Raw genomic sequence first — 19,265 nt, forward strand, 5'->3', positions numbered from 1 at the left:
GGGATGAATCCAATAGATTCTATAAGGGAAGTACTGGCAAGATTTGGGACTGACCCACCCAAGCCTGGGGAAACTTGAATGTTTATGGAGACCTTGACAGAGACGGAAAGTTGAGAAGGACACCAATTATGGGGCACATGATGAGCTCACACTGAAGGGTTGAGAAGTGCCCATCAATGGGCACTCATATCTCTCCTTGAGAAGTTCCTCTTCTCCCTCTAACTTAGACTTCACCTGCAGCCCAGGTCTTCACAAATTACCCTCCAGAGGAATTAAGCCTCTCACCATCTGTCAGCCCCTTCACAGGCCCCATCCCCTGGTGACACCTCCACCCCTGCCCCCAGCCCTTTTTCAAGGGCAGCACATCTGTCCCGAGGAGAAAGGGCTGGGATCTGGTTAGTGTCGGCTCACTGCTGAGAAGTTCGACGTGGAGGACTCATTTATCTTCCAGTCTGTGTGTGTGAAAGTATGCATGAGTGTGTCAAGAACCTGCAGATATAAACAGCTCTGCCTCAGAGAAGGAAGCATACTCTCATTTTTCCTCAGTGGACGACAAACAGAGATAAACCAGACGCTAAGTTTTCTCAGGTCCTGTTGCCAGTAATCTCAGCCAAGGGGGCACTGGCAGGGCATGCTTCCTGAAGACTCTGGGACCCAGTGGTCCTCAAGGCATCACCCCAACAGCTCAGTGCACCCTGTTTTTGGGCTCAGCCACCAGTCTGGGGCAGGCCCCCCATTCCCAGTTCTCAGAGCAATCTGGAGAATGAGGGATATTTATAATCCAAGGTCAGCTGGCGCCATCTTGCTTCTTGGGAAAGAATGTCTTCAGCTAAGAGTCTGCCCCAAGAATGCTCGAGGGGTCAGAGGGACGAGAGGTCTCCAGCAGGCCAGTCATTCTAACAGCTTATTTCATCCTTCAGTGTTTCCTGAGGGCCAACTGTGCTGGGCACTCTGGCATGTGGGGGATGCTGGATAGGGCATTTGTGTAGCAAGTGGATAGCTGAAAGGCTGGGCAGAGTGACCACGAGGGCCTCATTTAGCCCTGGGTAGTGAATGCCTGTTCACCTGTCCATGTCAGTATGTCTGTCCTACTATTCTAGTGATTCTTAGGTACGCACTGTGAGGAAGGCAGCCCACAGTCCCAGAGCTGGGACTCCACGCGAGCCTTTGGAGCATGGCGGGAATCATGGTACTGATGGTGATGAGGAGTTTTAACCCAAAAGCTGTTGAGAGCATGTGTGCAGTAGCCCTGAAAGGCCTTAATCCGCCTGCTCACCAGGGCAAAGGCTGCCCGGGTGCAAGGGAGACTGGAGGTCTGCTGGGCAGTCCTGCCTGTTTCAGCGGGATTGTGACTAAGGCAGCCCTCAGTTTGGGGGCCCACAGAATTGAAGAGCAAGGAAATGCCAAGAGTGTAGCTGAGATGGCCACAGTTAAGCTAAGGGGCTACTGCACACATGCTCTCAACAGCTTTTGGGTTAAAACTCCTCATCACCATCGCTGCCATGATTCCTGCCACGCTCCAAAGGCCTGCGTGGAGTCCCAGCTCTGGGACGGTGGACTGTCTTCCTCACAGTGAGTGCCTAAGAATCACTAGGACAGCTAAGGGGTTCTTGGCCTTCGTGCATTTGTAAGAGAAATCAAAATTTCTTCAAGGAGGAGCATATGTTCTTTCTGCCTGAGGCCCAGGGTGGTCTCCAAGTCCAGACTGTATATTTTTGAGAAAAGTGTCATTAGAAGGAGGGGACACCTATTCCTAGAGGTCTCACCCCACTCAGGGCCTCAGGACACTGTCTGCTGAGTGGAAATCACCGCCAGCCAATGGGCCACCCTCCTACTATGTGTGTGCCCACAGAGGCCCAAAATAAATAACAATGAACGCCTCAACCTTAGTCCCAGGTGGCCCCAGAGCAGAGTGGCTGGCGTGAGTGAAGATGATGAACTGGCCAGAAGGAGGATGAGAATGGGGAACAAAAGTCTGGGCAGGCAGGAGGGGGAAACCAGGACGAGCCCTCAGCAAGACCAGGCAGGAAGATTACTTTTCACTGAAATAGTCCCAAAGCCTAATTTTAGACAATAGTTCCTTTCTCCACTAGCATTCTTCCAAGAACTAGGTTTTGTATTCAGTGAACTCCTGTCATCCCCTGGGGGAAGCTGCATCCTCTGGTGTTTGGAGTGCTTTTTCTCTGTGCTGAGCCAAACAATGAGGAGATGTGCCCCAGCAAGAAGAGGGAAGGCTCGGCTCCAGCCCTTCTAAAATTGCACGCGTGTTCTCCGCCACACACACACACCTGTCCACCTCCAGCTGACAAGCGCACAGCAGACAAGAGCTGGAGCTCCACACAGCAGCCACGATGATCTTCTCAAAACACACATCGGATCATGTAAACTGCACTTCCTCTCCCACTTCAAACTTTGATAGAACTTCCAAGTCTCTTGGAATAAAAGCTCCTTAATTCAGCTCTCCGGGCTCGAGTCATCTGGCTCCTTCTGCTCTCCAGTGTCATCTCACACCACTTCTTGTTATCACTGCCCCTGGCTCCAGTCCCTGCTCCATCCTAACAGGGCTTCTGCATGTGCCAGCCCCTCTCCCAAGAAAACCCCACCCCACCTTTCTTTGCCCAGTTACCTCCTACTCTTCCTGTGGACTCAGCCAATATTCAATTCCTCTGAAAAGCTTCTCTGACCTCTCAGAGTGGGTCCCCCCACAACAGCCATCATAGGCCCACACCTCCCTCCCTCTGAGTGCTGTGGTCAGCCACCATTCTATCATGACCAGTGTGATTTTCCATCAGTGTGCAACTTCCCTGCTAGACTGTGAGCTCCATGAGGGCAAGGCCTGTTCTGCTCACCACCTGGGGAAGTTGCATCCTCTGGTGTTCCAAGCATGGAGTGCTTTTTCTCTGTGTGGAGGCAAACAAGGAGACATAACCCAGCACGAAGAAAGAAGGTGCTTAGCACAATGCCAACCTGGTGAAACCCTGTCTCTACTAAAAATACAAAAATTAGCTGCGTGTGGTGGTGTGTGCCTGTAGTCCCAGCTACTCGGGAGGCTGAGACAGAAGAATCACTTGAACCCGGGAGGCGGAGGTTGCAGTGAGCCGAGATCATGCCACAGCACTCCAGCCTGGGCGAGAGTGCAAGACTCCATCTCAAAAAAAAAAAAAAAAAAACTCAAAAAATATTGCATGAATGAATGGATACATGAATGAATGAACAAACAAAACAATCAAACTGGTATGAGCTTTGGGCACTCTGCAAAGCTTTAAGTAAAAGCACTCAACCAAAGCTTCTGAACAAAGCTAATAACCAGCTCAGGTATAGCAGTCGCCTGCTCTCATTCTCACCATGAGCCCAGAAACCGTTCCTCTCCACCATCCTGATAATCAGCACCCACGTGGTCACTCAACTCTCATCTTCACAGTCTGGCCAAATCCCAGTCCCTGGGAGGGGTGGATACCCTGCTTCTTCAGGTGAGGAAATGGGTCTAGTGTCCAGGATCACACTGTCAGGCATCAGAACAGCAGGGTCTACACCAGGACCCTTGACTCTAACGTGCTATTCTATTAGTCAGAACAGGTGAGACCACGCCACAGGCCTCGAAAAAAAAAAAGAAAGAAAGAAAAGACTTCCCACCCTGTCTGGGAAGCCAAGTTGCAGAGAAGGCTCAAGGGGAAGGCCAGACTCTTCCAGACATCAGCACGTCATCTTCTGGATGGCTGCAGAGTGAAGGGAGAGGGACAGACGGAGGGAGGCGATGACTGAGCTCCCACCTTAGTGCTCTGACCCTCCAGATCTCACTCCTCGGGCTCCAGATGGCCTCGCTGGGCCTGGCCTGAGGAGGGCAGTTTGACACTGTCTTAGGGAAGCCCCACTTCGTTGTGAAAACTCAAGGCTCAAATCCTGGTCATTGGCCAGAGATGTGGAAGGACTGGCATGGAGGGGAAGCCCTGGCCTAGGAAACCAACCCTGGATGCAGGTCCTGTCCCCAGCTCCGACTGGCCAGATGTCATTAATTATGTCTCTTCATGCCTTTGTTTCCCCAAAGGTGAAAAGGAGATGCTTGGCACCAACATTCCCCCTTGCCAGGGTTAGTGTACAGATTAAAGAAGAGGTGAGAAATGACGTTCCCATGCAAGTGACATCAATTATTATAGATGGAGAATGTCACCTAGAGCCCCAGGGAAGATTCTTCCCTTCAGCGGTGCCTGGCCCTGTGGAAAAGGCCCATTTTGTCAGTCCCCTGTCCTCCTCTACACTCTTGTTCTCAGAGTTTCCTACCCTAGTTTCCACGAAGGCTGAGATTCTCCAAGCTGCATGAAGTCCTGGGGACTGGCCATGGTACCATGGGACTGACCAGGGCAGTGGATGTGAATGTTCACTTTAATACACGCCTGTCATGGGACTGGCACTTCACTCCCCCACCCACATACAGGTTCCTGCCACCCCCAGCGAGGAACACAGGCCACTCGGAGGGAGACACTTTTCCATTCTCACCTGGTCCTTTGCTGGTGGAGTTCCAGGGGTTGGGGGTGGGTTGGTTAGGGGGTGATGCTGGTATAGAGGACCCCGGAGTGGGGTTTGGGGAAGTGGGGGAGCATGACCTTCCTGGACCATGACCTCCCATTAGCTCCCCTCGAGGAATGTTTCCAAGCAATTCTCTCTGCTTCTTTGAAATCACACTCAATCTCTCTCCCTGGGGGAGGAAAGCCTCATGAGATGAGCAAGGAGCAGCGGGTTTGCAAGAACCTTGAGAGAGCCCAGAACAGCAATCCGGCAGCCACCATCGCTGCTGTGAAGTGCAGGGAGCAGTGGGAAGGGAGAGAGGAGGTGTGGAGAAGGGGGTGGGTGAGGCAGATGATGGAGGCTGTCAGGAGAGGCTCTGTGACTGCACAGAGCGGGGGTGGGTGTGTGGGTGAGGGTGGGGAGGCCTCACAGTGCTCAGAGACGGGACTTCAGAAGTTGAGAAATCCAACTGGAGCCTCCAAGTCTCAGCCAACTTCTGATCAGACCTTCTGTGAACAGCACAGACTCCAGCCTAAAAAGGCTTCTGGAATGGCATTTCTCTTCTTGTTAGCTAATACACAGGTTTCTAATCAAGCCTACTCTAATAGATTCTTCTCATTTTTACAGAAGAACCGGAGACTCAAAGGAGAAGCCAACTCAACCCAAGGAGACGCAGATAAAATACAAAGGCAGGGTCAGAATTCAAATCCAGGGCCCTCTAACTCCAAAGGACACAACCAGACATCTCTAGGTCTGATTTTCCTCCTCCCAACAACGGATGAGATTCTCCTATTTAGAGCCACTTCCCTAATTAGAAGTAATGAGGAAATGTCCCTCCCCAGTCTTCTCAGAAACAGGGAGTCCAGATTTGAACACAGTTTGGTCTCCTAGGAAAAAATAAGCCAGAAAAATCCCAGTTGCAATTACCAATGCCATCCATGTGATTATCAACCACAAACGTTTACAGGGAGCCAGCTGTGGTGAACAGGCTTGAGTAGGGGAAAGTGACCACCAGGCCCTCTGCCCTCAAGTGGATTCCATCCCATCCCCCACAACCAAGCCCTGAGTAGCTGGCGTTTGGAGGCTTTTAGATCCTGGGCTTCCCAAGGGGAGATGCAGAGAGAAGAGGCCTGTAAGCCCAGATGACCTAAACGATGTCCTACAAAACTGCCCACTGCCTTAGCCCTCTAAACACAAGGCACTGTTGGCTTCCTCTTCTGAAGTCAGGATGCCCGGCAGGGCCACCCTCCTAAAATCAGGGCAGGCAAGCACACACCACAAAAGCCAGAGCCTAGGCCACCTCCACTGACCTTCCTCAGATCCTGTCCTTCCCCATGAGAAATGCAAATGTCAAGGTCCCCTCAAGGTGCTTTACCTCTCCCCATGGCTAGTACCTGTCTGTGCCTCAGCTGCCTCTCCTGGGAAATGGGGCCCACTCTCTGGGTCAGTGTAAGACTTAAATAAGCTATCATATGTAAAGTGCTAACTGTGCTCAATAAACATGTCATCAACATCATTACCGCTGAGAAAGGGATGGACACAGATGGGCCTGTAAGGATGGGAGATCCGGCCTGAGAGATACTTGCCAGGAGAGGGAGGGGATAGGAACTGACGCTTATCAGGGTTAATGACAGGTCAGGAGCACATGCTAAGGAGACAGCAAGCCTGGGTCCCATTCCTAGCCCTTCCACTTCATACGGTGACTCTGGGCAAGTTACTTAACCTGTCTGAGCCTCAGTTTTGTCATATGTATCATGGGGATAACAGTGGTGACAGCTTTCCCCATAGAGTGGTTGAAGTAGTATAGGCAATAATATGTGCCAAGTGCTAGCACACTTTAAAAAAGAATTTAATACTCTGTTTCAGCTCTTCTATTATTGGAGCGCAGTAGTCTCTTTGCTCTGCCCTCTTCTAGTAAATGCCGAGGATTTTCACTTTTCCCTTTTATCAGAGCCAAGAGGTCTCCGTCACAGTACACCAGGGGTCAGGGCAGGAGCTTGGCATCTGCTTCAGCCACAAGCCTTCATCTCCATTCTCCTGGAAGTCTTTACCTGTGGCCTGTGCCACATTCAGGGGAAGAAATCACTATACCTCTTTCTCACAAAAGCCAATCCCAGAAGCCTCTCCCCAAAGACGTGGCTGGGAATTGGCTCAATGGCAGGTGCCAACTCTACACTTGCACGACATTGACAGTGAGTATCTCCAAATCCCAGCCCTGCTCATTGGTCTGGGAGAAGCTGGATGGTTTAGCCACAGGGCCAGCTTCATGCATGTGTGATCTGTGCAGCTGCACAGGGCTCCACACTGAGTTTAATACTCTGTTGTTTCTGTCTTAAAATTCTCAGTACTTTTTGTACAAGGGGTCCCATATTTTCATTTTGCATAGGGTCCCACAAATCATGTTGCCGGTTTAGCATGCTTATCCACACATCTCCCGCTGGCTTCCATCGCTCCTGAGAGCCACTGCCAGCACTAGATCCAGGCTGCACATCTCAGACCTTTCCTCAGCGTCAGCTCTCACCTGGGCACCTGACTGCTCTCTGGCTTCTACCCTTGGGCCTGTACTCTCTTTTCAACAAAGCAACCAGAGGATCCTTAAAAATGTGAGTCAGAATCACATCACCCCTCTGCTTAAACCCTGCAATAGCTCCCTTCTCACTCAAGGGAGAAGAAAGGCCCAAGTCCAGCTGGTGGTGGGCAAGGCCCTTCGCGGTCTACCTCCCTCCCTTACCTCGCTGACCTCATCTCCTGGGGCCCCCCTGTTGTCCCTCTGCTCCAGCCATACTGGCCTTCTTGTTCTTCTGAATAGGCGGCAGGCACATTCCCACCCCAGGGCCTTTGATCTGGCTGTTGCTTCTGCATGGGACACTCTTAAGCCAGATATCCATCCCCAAGCAAAGGACCAGATATCCTTTTAATGCCAGAAAAGTCCTCTAACATCATCTCATCTATAAAGGACAACACTTCATCCAGCCTTTTAAAAAAGTATGAAGTGTTGGTGAGAATGGAGAAATCAGAACCTCCAGGCATTGCTGGTGGGAATAAAAAATGGTGCAGCCCCTGTGGAAAACAGTATGGTGGTTTCTCAAAAAATGAAAAATAAGATTACCATAGGATTCAGAAAGTCCACTTCTGAATTATATACCCCAAATAATTGAGAGCAGGGGCTCAAACAGATATTTTTACACGCATGCTCCCAGCAGCACTATTCACAACAGCCAAAAGATGGAAACTACCAAGGTATCCATGTCAGATGAATGAATAGATAAAATATGCTATCTATACACAATGGAACATTATTCAACCTTCAATAGGAATGAGATGCTGACACATGCTACAACAGGGATAAGCCTCAAAAACATTATGCTAAGTGAAATAAGCCAGACACAAAAGGACAAATATTGTGGGAAGTACCCGGACTAGTCAAAATCATAGAGACAGAAAGTAGATTAGAGATGACCAAAGGCTGGGGGGAGGAAGGAATGGAGTTGGTGTTTAATGGGTAGAGTTTCTGTTTGGAATGATGAAAAAGTTCTGGAAATGGATTCTGGTAGTGGCTGCCCACCATGGTGAATGTACGTAATGTCTGACTGGCACACTTAAAAACGGTTACAAGATAAATTTTATGTCATATGCATTTTATGACAAAATAAAGAAAAATAAAACAGCATAGGTGGAAGATTCAATTTAACATGAAATCCACTCTGGGCCCTGCACTCCTTCCAGGCCCATATCTCCCACCAGCCATCCTCAGCCTCCCCCACCCCCACCCCATGGCCACCCCAGGGCCCCGAGCCTTGCTAACAGGTGACCCCTGACCACCACGCACAACCAATGGCCAAGTCCCAGCCCCGTCCTGGTAGGGGTGAGTGGGTAGACAGGGACACACACGTAAACAGGAATGCAGCCCAGGCCGTAGGGAGGAGTCGCATTTTGGAAATCTGAGCCCTGCTCCCAGGACTAGAAATTCCAGGGAAGCCAAGTCAGTAGCCATAGTGTGTGTCAGAAAGGGAGGGAGGAGGCATCATTCCCTCTGCAGCCAGGCCCACAGCTGCCCTCCTCGCCTCCTCGGGAATGTGAAGTACGTCCCTGTGGCCGTGCACTTGAGGCAAGCGCGAAGGCCCACTCTCTCCACTCATGGCTTTATGTGGCAACTGTCAAGGCTTAGCGGGGAGGGGTAAGATTCTTCTGATCGCCTGGGAAAATGTGAAGATGCTCACAGCTCAGCCTCAATGCCACGGTGAGGTAGATAGGGGCTGCCCTGGTATTCCAGGCTCCCACCTTACTGGAGATGGACAAGCTCTTTAGGGAGAGGAATGCCAGATGGCAAAGTGCCCGCCCACGGGGCTAATTTTAGGCTCATCTCCACAGCAGCAACAGCGACGGCTCCCTGTGCAGAGCCCCCTGCACATCTCAGCTAGGGGGTTTAAACTACTGGGCAACCCAGAGGGAAAGGAAAATGTACACAAGCCCATATCCACATCCACACATGCAGGCAGGCACACACACACACATACACGCACACACACCCTTCCTCAAGGTGCACGTGCACACACACACACTTCCTCAAGGCACGCACACACACACACAAACACACACACACTCTTCCTCAAGGTGCACACACACACCCTTCCTCAAGGCATGCACACACACACACACACCCTTCTGCAAGGCACGTGCGCGCGCGCACACACACACACAAACACACACCCACCCTTCCTCAAGGGTGGCCTTGTAAATGATCTTTTCTGCCCTGCAGAGGGTAAGGGAGTCTGTCCATGCTCCCGGGACAGTAATGACTGCTCCTTAGTCCCTGCAGTTGTGAACCCAATAAGAAACTCCCAAATGTTATTACCATGTGACCCTTAAGATTCCTGAGTCAGAGGGCCTGATGTCACTAGGCCCCAAGAAAAGACCCTGAGGGAGATTTAAAAATAAACAGCCTTTAGCTCACAAGTACAGGTGGGACCTGCTGTCCCCTCTGACAACAGAACAGGTTGGCTGGACAGTACATATTATCAAGGACTTGGGTTAGACTTGAGGGTGAATCTTCCAACCCAGGGGAACCAAAAACATGGAGCTACAGAGGCTCCTCTGGCACAATGACTGAGTCGCCCTGGGTCAGGGCGAGTGCAGCCACCCGCAGACAGCAAGTTGGCTCCATGGCCCCAGAAGCGAAGCCCTGCTGGTATTTTCGCCACTCCTTGCTATGCCCTTTATATACATTACCTCGGGCTCTTGCCCAGGTCACAAGGGCCGGAACTAGGACTCAAAGCCAGGTGTGTCCACAGACACTGCCCTTCCTCTGACCCCAGAACCAAGCTCCAGGGGACTGCTGGACCATCTAAATTTCACTACGCCCACAGATTATTCCTGTGTTGCCCCCTCCCCAGTAAAGCCAAGGGAACTAGCCTCAAGCTCCAGGGCACCTCTTCTTTCCCACCTTCCCACTCTGAAGTGCAGCTCTGCAGACAGTCTCTGAATCCCAAGTTTTCTAACTTGGGAAGCATGAAGAGGCCACTAGTACCACTCTGATTTCCTTGTTATTCCTGGAGCCAACCTTTGTCCTAGGACCCCTCGGCCCGGGAGAGGAAGGGGGACAACAGGACTGTCAGAGGGTGCAGGCACAAAGGAGGACCAGCCCTTCAGTCTCCTTGAAGTCCCTGGGACCCCACCCTGGTCCTCAAAGTCATAATATTTACAGGGAACACTGCAAAGCCAGCCACCCAGCAGCTCTGCCTGGCAAGTTACCGCAAACAGCAGATGGCTCTGAACAATCTGAACGCAGGCCCCCCTCTCCTTACAGCCGGCACCCCAGCCCACCCCCGGTAAGTAAATAAACAAGCAAGAAACTCCAGAACCAGGCAGAAGCACAGCTCTGGATGGCTCTATCTAAGCAAGCTGCCCTTCCTGCAGAGGCCACCCTGGAGCCAGAACCACACATTCACACTGCAGGGGAAAGCCGGTACACATCCTTCTAGGGGCAAAAAATGTCCACTGCAGACACACACGCACACACACACACACACGCACGCACGACCAGTGCTGTAGTCTGTGTGTGGCTGTGAGTATGTGGGAGCAGGGCAAGTAGAGGGGATGGAGAAAGGAGAGGGAGGGAACGTTAATAGAGCCAAAGTGCTTATTTTATTAAAACCTTTTATAAATAAGCCTCACTTAGCCCCAGCCAGACACATAGTCTTGGTGCCTAAAATCATGACTCCTCTACATTCTGGAGACCTAGATGGTGAGACAGGGGTGTGTACAGGGTGGGAGAGGAAACCCACCAAAGTTCTGAATGCCTACCCCTGCCCCTCCAGCTCCCAGAACTCCTGCATGGGGACCCATCCAGCCGCAAGTTAGCTAGAAAAGCTGGAGTCCAAATGCCACTATAACACTTACTGGCTGTGTGATCTTGGACAAGTTACTTAACCTCTCTGTGCTTCAGTTTCTCATCTGTAAAATGGAGAATAATATCTGTAATCAAGAGCTGCAGAGTTAAAGTAGATACTAGCTATCAGGATAATTCTCCCATTTTTCGTTTTTCTTACCTCTCTCTATAGTCTACAAAAAAGACTTCTTTCGTGGACAGGCTGAGAATCATCGTCACCACCATCACCCTGTATCTAATCCCAAGACGGCTCTCCAGGGTAGGTGCTCTTATCCCTATCTTATTGATGAAGACACTGAGGCTCAGAAAGGTTCTGACACTGACCTGAGGTCAAAGCCTAAGTGACAGCGCCACAGGACCGTCAAAGAGGCAGAGCGTGAGAGCCCAAGCAGGCCCATGGAAAGGCTTCCAGAAGATGCAGCTCTCCTCAGAACTCCAGGCCAGGAGGAGGTCAGGAAAGGCTCAAAGGCATGAATGAGCCCGAAGCAGCTCAGCTTTAGGTGGACAGGAGGGCACAGGGCCAGCTGCCAAGCTGGGTGACTCAGCCTTGACACTTTTCTCCTCCTGGGGCCCAGGCACTGAGCCCTGGCTCCCCTCATCCTCGGCAGAGGCCACCATCCTTAACGTCAACCAGGAGCCCCGAGGCCCAGTGAGAGAGACCCCACGGCATACCAGTGGCTCCAGGGATCCTATCTTCCACCCTGGCCATCTCTTGGCTTCTCAGAACACTGTCCTTCATGCTGCCACTCCCCACCCATATGTGCTCTCTGGAAGGAACTGGGGTGCCCCCAGAACTGGCCCATCTTCTACTTAGGAGACATGTTTCAATTTGCTCAGCATAGTCTCGTTATGCCTATTGTCTGGAACAAATTATTAACAGCACCCTCTCTCCTTCCACTCTCAAAAGAGTCCTGGTTTTGCTGCTAAATCATATGGTCACCATACCCCGACCCTCCCTCAAGGCTACCTGAGCCATGGGCCCAAATCTGTTAGCCAAGGAGGGGCACCTCACCCTCCTTGGGCAGTTTCAAGGACGTCCAGGAAACACCCCTGACCAGTCTTTTTTACTTTGCAGGCTGCAGAAACTTTCTTCCCACGCTGCCTGCCAGCGCCCCCGACCCCACCCCGTTTCCTGTAACTTCTCCTAGATATAGCCCAGCTGGGTCTTCTCATCATAATGCAAATGACCCAAGGTCTTAAGCCCGTCAGCGTGGAAGGGAACCTCCAGCAGAAACCGGCCACTCCAAAACAGAGAAAGACGACAGCCAGAGCCATGACCCAGCACAGCTCATGCAAACACTAGGATCCATAAGAAAGTGCTGGACCTTCAAGGAGAGGAGAAACAGGTACTCCCTCAGGCTCCAGTCCATTCATTTCTTCACTACTTCATTCATTCAACAAAAACTGATTAAATTACCGGGTTCAAGGCTGCGTCCCTATAATCAATGGTACAAATATAACAACCCACAGAATTAGGATGTAGATACACACAGACACATGTATGTGTATACACAGATTTTATTATTCATGTGTGTGGGTTGTGAGAGCTATTCCAAGAATAATCTGAAAATCATTGGTATCAGGCTTTGAAATGCATCGATGCTTTTTAATACATTTACCTCCTTGGTGATGTTTGAGCCCATGTGATATTTATTACATTGTTATTTAAATGAGCCTAGACTCTGAGACCTCTTCTACTTTCATAGAAAATGCCAGGGTTGGGGAAACTAGCCAGGGGAAAAAAAATCAATCCAGCCAAATCCATTGACTTGGGAGTAGGTATTAATTGCCCAGGATTTTATCAGCACAGCAGGAGGCTGGGGGTAAACTACAGAGTGCAAAGTAGGTGACAGTAACAACAACAACAAAAAATACAAATCTACAAGGCCGCAGAGAAGCTCATCTCTTACCTAGGAGGACATTCATCCTGACCCGGCCCAGCCCAGTCATAGACAAACATGAGATATTCAAATCAAGGGAAATAGTAACCCCCCTTAAAAAGGCCTATTGCAGATGCAAAAAAGAATTTCCTTTCAACACAACATTAATTAGGCAAACATGTACTAAACCCAATGGCAGGCCAGGCACTCTGCTAGGACTGGCAACATCAGCAATAAATAAGGCCTATCTTGGGTTTTGAGACACATCCAGTCTAGGAGGAGACAGATAAAACCAGGAGAGTACAACAGCTGGTCACGGTGTGTGGTCACACAGGAGCACCAGAAAGGAAAGGAAAGAGTCCATCCCTGAATGCTGGAAGGTGACCCAGGAAGGCTTCCCAGAGAAGGTGATATTTGAGGTGGGTTCTGGAATGCAGATGAGTAGCAAAGGGGGACAAGACACTGGAGGGACAGAAAGCATTCTAGAGAAGCTTGGCAGAAGAGAACAGCTGTTCAGGGGTGTAGGGAAGATGGGGGGAAGCCAGTATTTTGGGCCAGAATGGCAAGGAAGTGATGTGCTCAGACCTGAATTTTGGAAATGTCGCATTACAGCTGTATGGAAGGTGGCCCAGAGCTAAGTAAAAGGCTGCGCAATGGTCCAGATGAGAGATGATGAAGGTCTAACCAGGGCAGGTTGGGAGGGGCCGCGGAGGTTGGAGGAATGGAGGGGACGTTTCAGAGCCAAACCCATCAGCACTGTATGACCAACTGAAAGTGGGAGGCGAGGAGAGGGAGTTGTCAAGGATGACTTCAGTTTCTAAGCAGGCAACAGGGAGAATGACAGGAAATAAGACAGAGAAGAGAGGCAGTGGAGGAGCCGGTCTCCGTGAGGACAGTGGGGTGGATGAGTGAGGGGTACACATGATGGGTTTAAGGTACCCCAGGGAGCAATAACTAACAGGCAGCTGGAAATGTGCAGGTGCATCTCCGGAGAGGCTGGGCCAGAGGGACAGATATGGGGAGGGTTAACAAAATCACAGAGATGGACAAAATGAGCTGGAAGAAAAGAGCCCAAGATGGAGCCCTGGGAAAAACAAATGCTTGAGGAGGAAAAGAAAAGAGGAGGCCAAAACAACAGACAGAGTGGGAACAGCCAAAGAAAGACAAGAATGGGAGTGGGGCCAGAGCAAGCAGTGCCAGGTGAAGGAGACCCATCATGTGGCAGCCAGGGGCCCCCAATATGAGCGGCAAGGGCTGCTTTCACCATGAGGGTCCTCTGTGAGATTGGGGAGGCACATACGCTGAGAACTATCCTGTCAAGAGGGCCAGTGGGGAGTTGGAGGAGAGAGACGTGAGAGATGGAGGCACGCCAGGGAGTGAAGGAGGTGTTTCTATACTGGGGACCTGTGTCCCTAGTTAGCCTCTACAGGAGGGACCTGGGGAAGGAGGCGGGGCGGGAGGCCAGGAGTCATGGAAGGAAGGAGGGAGGAAGGTGGCCAGAAGGAAAGAATGGAGGCCAGGTCAAAGGAGGGAATGCCTTGGGCAGGAGAAGGAACTGGGCTGCTCTGAGAAGCCAGGAGGTGCAGGACGTCGGCTGAGATGGAGAGGGAAGGCTTATGACGTCCTCAATGAGGCAGGAAGTTTATCTGCAAAAACATGAGGGCTTGGTGGAGACACAGGACTGGGAGCTACAGAGAGGACAGCAGTGAGGGCTCAGATCGGCCACTCTGGAGAAGAGGATATGACTAAAACAGCAAATCTCCTCAGAAGATCCTTGCCAAAATGTCTGGCCCAGGAGAGGAACTGGTTCAGAAGAGTTAGGAACGCAGCTTCGAGACTTTCCTCTGGACTAGGATTTGTAGTCCTGACCACTCTCCCTGCCTCAATCTTCAAACCACTTTTTCCCAATACCAGTAGGGTCCATTTGTACAGGGAGAGTTTTCGCAAAAGAGAGCTAAGCACCCCCACACCCCTGCTGCGAGCACACACACATGCGCACACACACGTTCCACACCATGCTGGCCACTCCTGGTTCCATACAGGCCCACATCTGTTTCTTGCTCTTGGTGAAGCCCCCAGCAGAGCGGCACATGTGGAGAGGCATGTGACAAGCAGATGAGAGGGACACTAACCCTGAGGTTAGAAAAACCTATAACTTTCCCCCTCGCTGACCACAGGGTCAGTCAACTCTACCAGAATTAAGTGCTTCTCTGTCCGTGGCTCTGAATAGGACAAACTCCAGCCTGAAGTGAATACCACCAAAAACTAATTTAACGGACAGTGCACAGATGTCCATGCAGGCCTTCTGAGCTGCAACTACAAAAAACAAATGGTGCAGTGCTCGCTGGGGAGCTTAGCTCTATGGGGGGCTACAAATAGCCCTTAGCCTTCCTCAAGAGTGGAGAGAGGAGAGGTACAATGAGGGCAAAGCCGTAGGAAGGGCCTGGCTTCCTACAGGGCCTGTACAGGGCTGGGTGCACCAGGACAGAGCAGGTGTTCCCGGTGATGGGGGTGAGGATGACTGCCAATCCCTGAGCCATCACGATGCCAGTTTCAGTCTCAGGCCAGGAAGCTGGACAGACACTTTGGGCCATCAGCTAGAGGAGAGAGGCCGTCCCCTACGACCCTTCCCCAGCAGATGCAGCTCACAGCCAAGCCTGGCTTTTTCTTGTGGAAAAATGGGGGAAGAAGAGGGAGCTGGTCATACCTGGATGCTGTGCTAGTGGCCGGATGTCAAAGCAGCCTTTATAATCCCCTTGATTGCCCAGTTTGGTGTCCATCTTTTGCTCACCCTAAATGAATGCCTCCACTGCGTCTTCAAGCCCATTTCCCTCCTGTGCCCTCTGGTGGAATGAGCCATGGAGGGCCACCTCCTCATGGGAGACCTGTTTGGCAGGAGCTCTGCTGCCAGGTGAACAGGTGGCCTGTGGGAGCCTAGATCCTCCTAAAATGGTTTTGAGCTTTCTCTGCATCCACAGAGGTGCATTTCCCTGCAGGAAGGATGATACATGCTTAGATTTTTCAGAGGCCCAAAGGAAGATAAAAAGTTGCTTTGGGGGATTAAAAGACACCATGGAGTAAAGACAGAGGGCTGGGCTTGGCCTCCCCTGGGGCGTGGCAGATGTGAGTGAAGAACCTTCCTCATAATCCCATGGTGATCCTGGGCCATCAAGGCTGCAGGTGCAGCACAGCCTGAGGCTAGGCCACCCAGTCCCATCCTGGGAATGGACTCAGCTCCTTCTCACCTTTGCCCACTCAGGACAGCAGGCTGAGGTCTGCATCCCCGAGGGTTCATCTCTGAGGTCTGCTCTCACATTGCCAGTCAACCTGCAACTGGCACGCTATAAAGAGAGACACGTGGGATGTGAGATGGACATTTCAAGGCCTCCCTCTTCCCTGGAATAAGGTGCCTAAAGCTGACTTTGGAAAACCAGAAGCCAAACACTACAAGGACACCGTGCTGACCCAGCCTTGGGCAGAGGCCAGCACACTTCCCATCTGCCCCTCCAGGGGCTTGGGGGCCGCCCAGCACACCTGCACATGAGGACCAGCTGCCCAAACAGACTGACCAGGGGTTCCTGGAAGCTCTAAGGATATACAGGGCATGCTGATACCTCTAGGCGGGTGGGAGGGGAGGAGACGGAAGGGAAAGGAAGCAAAAGTGTGTGGGTCTGGGGTAAGGAAAGGGAGCTACATTCTGAGGATTTCAAAGCACGTGCCACTCCTGAGGCTTTCAGGCCACAAAACCTGGCCAAACCCCCCCTTTCCAGCCTGATGACCACAGACTGTCTAAACACTTCCAGATGTCCTTGAGGGCTGTGCAGGGGACGGCAAGTGCAGCTTGGACAAAACAGAGTGAAAGATCACCTCTTGGGAAAGAGAAGCTATAAATTACTATTATGACTTCCCACCCAGAAGGAGGGAGACACCCTGGGGCTGAAGACTGAGGGCGGCCAATGGAGACGTCCTTCCCAGGAGGACACCCAGTCAAGGACACTGCCTGGGCTGTCTCCAGTTGCCTTGTTCCAGTCCAGCCTCCACCATCACCCCTTCCCAAGGTCTAAATGCCACAGTACAGAAATATTACCAAAATATTCTCATCCTCACCCCAAGCAATGGGCTTAGCTTTTCCAGGGCCTGGGGTTCCTGTTAGGTCAGAGTAGTAACACAGGCAGGCCCTGCAACTTTAGTCTAACCTCCACTTGCACAACTCCAGGGGGTGCCATTCACAAGTGGGCCACATCTGAATGACTGCCCTGCAGGTACAGGACCTTATGCTATAGTCCCACCGGCTAACAGTTCGCCTGGGGTGGCCGGTGGATCTACAACCAGCTCTCCTCCACCAAGCTCCCAGCTTGTCTGTCCAGCAACTTCATCTCCGTCCCAGGGGTACCCACAGTCCCACCAGAGTGTCCTGGGGCCCTCAAAGCACCCCCATCACACTGGGACTCTGGCAGTAGGGGCAGAGTCAGCAGCTGCTGAAAGCCTGCCTGCTCTGGACGAGCGCCTCCTCCTCACATCTAAAGCATTTGTCTTAATTTACTTTATGTAATTAAGAAAAATCCACTACTGTTGTGGCAGGAGTGGGGGAAGCAAGTTACACAACAGTATAGCCTCCGTTATACTAATTTGTTTTAAATGATTTCTAGAAAGAAATAGCAAAATGTGATAGAATTAAGGGGGATTTTATCCTTTCTCCTTTATACTTTTTTAACTTTCCAGATTGTTCAAGTGGTGTCTATGGCTTTATGATCACAGAAACAGGGCTATGAATGTGAGCAAGTTTTTTTCTTCCCCTAGAGACACTTAAGATGTAAGTTCTGGGAGCTCCTGGAAGGCTACAAACCTGCCTGGGGTTCAGAAAGTCTGAGGAAGGGCTTAGATGGGCTCGGTCTGCAGGCAGCACAGGTTAGGCAGTGATCCACGGGGTTATCATAAACCGCAGACTTAGAGAGGCACAGAGACCATCCCCAGCTCTCATCAAAAGGTCAGCTGACCAAGGCCAGAGGGCACAAAGCTTGCCTAAGGCCAGTCAGCCGATGAGTGGTGACAAAGCTGGAGTCTGAATCCAGGCCCTCGGTCCCCAGGCAGACAGTGTTACTCCCCTTCTCTGTATCTTTCTTTCTCTCTGCATGTCTCTCTTTCTCCAACTTTCTGTCTCTTTCTCAGTCTCTGCCTCTCTGTCTCCCTCTCCCTCTCTCTCTCTCCCTCCACCACCACCTCCCTCTCTTGCACGCTATACCTCCAGGCCTCACTAAAGACTCTAATGGTGCCCCTTATTCATCCTCCCACATAGGACAGTCACTTTTTTTTGTGGCAGGAGAATACAGCATCCACAGGAGGCCACCACTTTCTTAACTTTCCAGATTGTTCAAGTGGTGTCTGTGGCTTTATGATCAGAAGGGGGTCTCTACCACCCCCAGTGACTCTAAATGCACTGAGCTGAGACAATGGCACATGCTAGGAAGACTGGGAATTTCAGTCCCTGTAATCAGACCACAAACAAGGCAACAGGTGAGGCAGGCACAGAGGCCCATGTTCCTGCCACCTGCTGCCCCGACACACACTGTACCAACAGTCTTCCCCCAGTGATACAAAAGAGCCCGGGGTCGAGAGTGAGGCAGGCCTTGGTTCAAGCCCTCTCACTCAGAACTCTGCAGCCTTGGGTTCATTAAACCTTCTTGGAATCCCTGTGTCCTCATCAATAAAATGAGGGTGTTGGCCGGGTGCAGTGGCTCCTGCCTGTAATCCCAGCACTTTGGGAGGCAGAAGTGGGAGGATTACACAAGGACAGGAGTTCAAAACCAGCCTGAGCAACAGAGCAAGACTCTGATTCCATAAAAAAAAATTCTAAAAATTAGGTGGGCAGGGTGGGGTAATGCCTGTAGCCTTAGTTACCAGGGAGGCTGAACCAACAGGATCACTTGAGCCCAGGAGTTTGAGGCCACAGTAAGCTATGACTGTGCCACTGCACTCCAGCCTGGGCAACAGAGTGAGACCCTGTTTCTAAAAAATTAAAATAAAATAAAATAAAATAAAATAAAATAAAATAAAATGAGGGTGTGAGGGACAGCGTCACATGCGAAAGAGATAACATGTGCAAAGTGCCCATATGGCCCGGCAGGTGCTTACTACATGGAGGTCATCCTTGTTATGAACTCAGGCCTTCCTGCAGACCAGACTCCCCTGCACCCTGCCTCCCTGACATCCCTGGGCCCTGGGCTGGCTTCCCCTCCCTCCCTCCCGCCCCGGCTGCTGAGGACCCTTCAGGAACTATGCACAACAACAACAGCTTTTAAGATAGCGGCTGGGCGCGGTGGTTCACACCTGTAATCCCAGCACTTTGGGAGGCTAAGGGCAGATCATTTGAGGTCAGGAGTTCGAGACCAGGCTGGCCAACATGGTGAAACCCTGTCTCTACTAAAAATACACACACACAAAATTAGCCAGGCGTGGTGATGGGCACCTGTAATCCCAAGCTGAGGCAGGAGGAT

General features: G+C 51.3%; 1 protein-coding gene and 1 long non-coding RNA gene across 13 annotated transcripts in view, besides 2 other annotated features; one reads left to right on the forward strand and one right to left on the reverse strand.

Moving 5' to 3' along the window:
- The window catches only part of ADCY5 (adenylate cyclase 5), a 166,795-nt gene that overhangs the window by 92,483 nt on the left and 55,047 nt on the right, over positions 1–19,265 (reverse strand). Inside the window, exon 1 of one of the 12 annotated variants that reach the window (XM_047447361.1) lies at positions 16,017–16,107. The exons of 9 other annotated variants lie outside the window; for them this stretch is intronic. In XM_047447361.1, the coding sequence (XP_047303317.1) occupies positions 16,017–16,052 (36 nt within the window). In that variant the 5' untranslated portion in view covers positions 16,053–16,107. Of the gene's footprint in view, positions 1–15,562; positions 15,614–16,016; positions 16,108–19,265 lie in introns of those variants that run through there. 2 more of the 12 variants (XM_017005639.1, XM_017005638.1) reach the window with 2 other exon arrangements.
- Positions 10,979–11,479: an enhancer, noted in NCBI's record as "H3K4me1 hESC enhancer chr3:123104604-123105104 (GRCh37/hg19 assembly coordinates)". NCBI's record gives its function as "activates a minimal SCP1, AML or CMV promoter by ChIP-STARR-seq in primed H9 embryonic stem cells {active_cell/tissue: H9 hESC(primed)}" and the evidence as "EXISTENCE:reporter gene assay evidence [ECO:0000049][PMID:30033119]".
- Positions 11,068–12,317, forward strand: LOC124909420 (uncharacterized). Its single transcript, XR_007096035.1, has 2 exons — positions 11,068–11,150; positions 11,967–12,317. It is a non-coding gene; the product is annotated as an uncharacterized LOC124909420 (long non-coding RNA).
- Positions 11,480–11,980: an enhancer, noted in NCBI's record as "H3K4me1 hESC enhancer chr3:123105105-123105605 (GRCh37/hg19 assembly coordinates)". NCBI's record gives its function as "activates a minimal SCP1, AML or CMV promoter by ChIP-STARR-seq in primed H9 embryonic stem cells {active_cell/tissue: H9 hESC(primed)}" and the evidence as "EXISTENCE:reporter gene assay evidence [ECO:0000049][PMID:30033119]".

This window comes from Homo sapiens, chromosome 3, assembly GCF_000001405.40.
Source record: "Homo sapiens chromosome 3, GRCh38.p14 Primary Assembly".
NCBI classification, from domain to species: Eukaryota; Metazoa; Chordata; class Mammalia; order Primates; family Hominidae; genus Homo; species Homo sapiens.